Source organism: Homo sapiens, chromosome 13, assembly GCF_000001405.40.
Source record: "Homo sapiens chromosome 13, GRCh38.p14 Primary Assembly".
Lineage (NCBI taxonomy): Eukaryota > Metazoa > Chordata > Mammalia > Primates > Hominidae > Homo > Homo sapiens.
The window spans coordinates 54168215-54173883 of NC_000013.11; positions in this window are offsets into that span (position 1 = coordinate 54168215).

Here is a 5669-nt window from a genome sequence, read left to right on the forward strand (position 1 = left end):
AATAGGGATATTCAGGATACTTTTGTTTTCCTCTTTACATAATGTTTGTAATCTCTACTGGCTCTTGTTGGCATAGAATTTTCTATAATCTTTCTGGTTCAATATTTGAGGATTCTGAAAATGTATTGTATTTTCTTGTAACAAATAAGCATTTTTAAAGGTCTGTGGCTTCTGCTCAGAGTCTGTATATAGCAAGTAGCAGATGGAATTTTCACTCTGATAACTGCGAAGAACTGCTCTTCACGTATAAAAATAACAGTGCAGCTGAGATATCTCTTTCCAGATAGGCTTCAGCCATGTCTAGAAGTATAATACCCACAACTACCTATCTCTAACATAACCTGTTGTTAGAACTTCCAACCAATGTGCCATATAAAATGCAGGAAGTGGGCATTCTGTTTTATTAGTATGGAAGCATATGAATGATAGATTATATCCTCTGGATGATTATTTATTTGTGCATTCATTCAAGTACAAAATAAAATATAACAATGTATTCTTCTCTTTCCAACAGAATTTCATTGACAAAGAATCCAGAGAAATGCAGAAAAGCTATACTGAAAATAACATTTATGTTTCTGGCTGCAAAAATATGTACTATTTCAAAGTGAATAATGAATTGTATCTGAGGCACTTAGACGTGATTCCTACCCTTTGGAATGTCTATTTTAGAGTTTGTTGGTGGTAAAGGACAGCAATATGGAAGAGTGTTCAGAAGCATGGACTCTGAAGATAAAATTGTAGAAAAGTTTTAATAATATAATGTAAATACTTAGTATAGTGCTTGGCACATAATAAATAATCAAAAATTACATGCTATGATAATAATTCTTATTATAATAATTATTGTTATTACCACCACTCCTAATTTTACTACCAATAGCACGATGAGTTTAATTTGGTAGGGAACATATTAGAGCCAAAATATTCTTTTTCTCCAACTTTGTTGTCATATTTGCACTTGGGAATTTTCCATGGATCTGTTTTGTATATTGTCCCAACTAATGTCATCTGACCCAACATACCCAATGATAGCTGGTCCCTGACTTTTATAGTTATAAACTAGATTCTTTTGTTTGAGATTAGTGGGATTAGAGCACTATATTTCAGGAAATGTAGAGAAGTAAGTATAGAAGTTAATATTAATTTAACTGATACTTTTCCTACTCATACATATAATTACCTTTGTTGGAAGAGACATTAGAGCCACCACCCATAGTTACCCCTCAAGAAAGGAGGTTCAAATTATGCATACTTAGTTGTTCCAAGTCTAGTTTAGTGTAGCAGATAAGAATTTCACACCATAAACTAAAATGTGAAAATAATATGACTTTGTAGTTTAGTTTATGTTTTAAAGCTCTAATAGGATAATAGATTTTATTCTGTTGAGGTTCCCAATTTTCAAAGAGTCATGTCTAATTTTCAGAGTTGTTATATAGTGCCAAGTCATTGTTGGAGGCAGGGAACGCTTGAATCATCTGTTCACTCAGGCACTGGCCAATGCCATAATTATCCAGTTGTGTTCTATTAAGTCAACAATACCAATTGTCTTTCAAAGTTTTCCCTGGTCTTCTCTGCATGGCTTCACAGGAATTGGAACAGTCTCCAGTCGTTCTGTGCAATGCTCTAGGACTACCAAATGATTTATTTGGGTGTTTGAGATATAAAAGCTAGTACGTGTTGTTTTTATTTTTTGGTTTTCAACCTATTGCATACTTCTCGAGAATTCTGAAACTTTTTCTTTCTTTCTTTTTAATGTGTGAAAGAAGAAGACAGAAAATACCTGGTAAATAAGAGGAAAAATAAGTTAATATTTACAATATTGCCCTTACACAGGAGTTAATGGACAATAGCCCCCACCCCCATTCCTCGACCCTCCCCTTATCTGTCTAACGGGCTGAGGGTTTGAAGTTCCACACCGCAAAAATAGTAATATGTGGAAAAGTGGCCTTTATGAGAAAGCTCCTCTGTATTCACTGGGATATAACCATGGCACTGTGCTCATGCTTTTCTCCATGGTTACGCAAAGCCTCCTATTATGCACAAGCTCTAAAAAAAATATGCAGAAAGGGATCCAAATATCCAAGATTCAGAAGGTAGCATTGTCATTGGTGGCATTAGGCACCACTTATTTTGTGAGGGATTTTTGATTTGTTTGGTTTGGTCTAGCAAACAAGAAGAGTTGAGAATATGAAAAGCAGGTCCCTTTTATTGCTTAATACCATGTTTGCCTAAAAATCTGAAATCATTGTATAGACAGGCCGTGAAGGGGAATTCAGCATTAGATGGAAACTTCCTGGACTTCTCTTAAGTGGACCAGTTTATAAGGTAGCCTCGTATAAAGCTAAATTTATAGGTAAATTTCAATGCTAATCACTTTGAATCATCCTTAAATGGTTGTATTAAGTCTCAGGGTAGAAAGTTATTTATTTTGATACAGGGTCTCACTCTGTCACCCGGGCTGGAGTGCAGTGGTGCTATCATGGCTCACTGCAGCCTTGACCTCCCAGGCTCAATTAGTCCTCCCACCTCAGCGTCTGGAGTAGCTGGGACTACAGGTATACACCAACACACCCAGATAACTTTTGTATTTTTTGCAGAGATGGGTTTTCACCACGTTGCCCAAGCTGGTATTGAACTCGTGGGCTCAAGCAATATGCCCTCCTCTGCCTCCCAAAGGGCTGGTGTTACAGGTGTGAGCCACCACGCCAGCCTGGGTGGAATACTTTCAATAAACATTCTAATGCTATCAGATATCTGAAAGGTTTTCGAAGTAGATAGCTGCAGGAATATGGGGAGGAACTTAGAAGGCTGTGAATCTTCTGTTTGATCCCTCTCACCTTCAAGTTTACTTTTAATAAGAGATGTCATTATCTGACATGTGGAAGACATGGGCCTAATATCTGTCCACCCTTCCATACACATATATCAGATAAACCTGCAGATACCGTACCACTATTTCCCATAGGTCAGATCATGCATTCCTGTCACGTATCAAACTCCCAAGCTCTGTTCTTTTCCAACTTGGAGTCATAACATTCGAACGCTGGCATTCACCTTCCTATGTCCGAAAACACCTCATCATCAGGGTAGACTTATTTCATTCGTTGAATTTCCACTTGCCAAGTCTCATTCCTCAATTGTATCCTATAATATAGGTCACTTAGGTATATTGGACTGTTCAACAGGCGTTTGGCAGAGTTCTAAGTAGAAGCCTTGAAATATTTGTGCAGAATACTCTTTACTATTTTTTAAATCGCTAATCAAGTAAAAGCAGTACGTATTTTAAATACCCGTATTGCTTAGCTCTTCATCTCTTTCCCAATGTTTACTCATCTTTCCTCTCTACCTCTCTTTTTTGAAATATTTCAGAAAAGAGAGGTTTAATAAGATATGAAGTGGGAATGCTTAAAGAAGTGCATCCCCATCCGAGGCTATGATGCTTGCTCTTCTTCAGAGTGTTCTAAAGAGTTTTGTATCATTAGACTTGTTCTATGTGCTATGCCATTAGAGCAATACCTTATATACCTCACAGTAGTTCTGTGTATTTCCTACTGTAACTTTATGTGGCAAAATGAGAAGTGGAATTTCTTTCTTTTATAAACAGCTCAACTTGCTTCAGATTCCTTGAAAAAGTTAAGCAAACTACTTATAGGAACTTTATAGAGTAGTTGCCTTTTGTTGAAATAAATTCAGCAACTAAAATTAATGCAAGATTCCAGGCAAAATGGAACTAAAGGTGATTCATAGGTAGATTCTGACAGCTTGGTTATCATTCTAATTGAGCTGAAGGTTTTATAAAATTATGTTCTCTCCTGAAAATTATATTACTATTAGGTTTGATTGTCTTTTATTTCAACCATCATGTAGGAATTTCAAGTTAAAAACAAAAGAAAAACAAATAATTAATTTTGCTTATTTTAAAAATAACAATATTTTATATATATAGATTTTTTATAAGTAAAAATGGCTTTGTATGGTCATATTTATATGTATTTAGGTGAAAGGCACAGAACTGGTATACAGTAAACAATTACGATGGTCAAACAACTTAAAGAAGAATCTTGAGTGTTACAGAGCAGTTATCTGCAAATAGTATGTTTATTGTCATCAAATGAAACAAAGAACATTCTCTTCCACTAGGATGTAGAAAGTTAAAAAATGAAATCATTTACATTCCAGAATATGTAAAGAACCACAATATGTAAAAACTCTCCAAACTCAGTAATAAGACAATCCAACTTAAAAATGGGTAAAATATTTGAACAAAGGCCAAAGAAAAGATATGACTGGCAAATAAGCCCATCAAAGTATAGTCATTAGTCATTAGGAAAATACAAATTAAAGCCATAATGAGATAGTACTACATAGCTTTTAGAATATCTGTAACTAAAAATAAAGATAAAACATGCAAGGATTTAGAGTAACTAGAAGTCTTATGCATTACTTGTGGAAATGAAAGTTGATATGGTGGCTTTGAAAAACAGTTTTTCAGCTGCATACAAAGTTAAAGATATTTTTACCATAGAACCCAGGAATATATTCCTATTAATAGATAATTACCCAAAAGAAATGAAAACATAGGTTCAGAAAAATACCTATAGACAAATTTTTATAGCAGCTTTTTTTCTAATTACCAAAAGTAGTAAACTACCTGAATGTCCACCACAGGTAGGGGTTGGGCAAATCAATTAATTGTGGTACATCCATACAGTGGAATGCTACTCAGCAATAAAAAGGAACAAACTACTGTTCCATGCAGTAACATGGGTAATTTCACACATTGTGCTAAATAAAAGATTCAGAAAAGTTATATTTTTAAGGATTCCATTTATTTGACATTCTCGAAAAGGTAAAAATATAGGGACAGAAACCAGATCTGTATTTGCTAAAAGTTGGTGATCGGGAGAGGGATTTGATTACAAAGGAGTATGAGAAAAGTTGGGGAGGATAAAACTATTCTATACTGGGTTTTGTGGTAGTTACAGGACTGTGTAAGTTTGTCAAAATATATAGAATGTAACATTCTCTTAGGATAGACTTTACTGTATTTAAATTATAACTCAGTAAACCAAAGCTAAAAGAGAAGCATGGGGTACAAAATCCTTTTTTGTCTGCACTAGGCAAGAAGAATGTAACACTTAATAAACTAAATGGTTTTCTCCATAAATTACTGATGGTAAGTTACCTTGTCTAAGAACTCAATGATTACAAATTGGTACTTCAGTGCAGCTGTTCATTTTATTCCAGATTTCTTTCATATCTTGCAAACTCCACAGGAGTTTGGTATCAATGATGTCAAATATAAAGGCATTGAGAACATAAATGAGTAAGAGATTTTTTAATTTTTAGAGAACAGTTTGATCATGAACCCCCAGGGCTGCTTACTCTGGGCTTCTGGGGATTGGTATAGGAAAGGGAGGATGCAGAACCCCAAAGTTGATTTAAAAAAACAACTTTAATTCTATTATCATTTAATTTTGAGCATCAAATACTGGTGAAGTATTTAAATACAAATTTAAATAAGAAAGAAAGTTGTATCTACTAAAATCAAGCTGAACATTAATGTCTTGGAATATGGTCACTTTGATGCATTATTGGCACACCACGGAAACCATCACAAGCTGCTTTACAGATTTTACCCAGTTTGTAAGTTTTTGTGCTTCAAG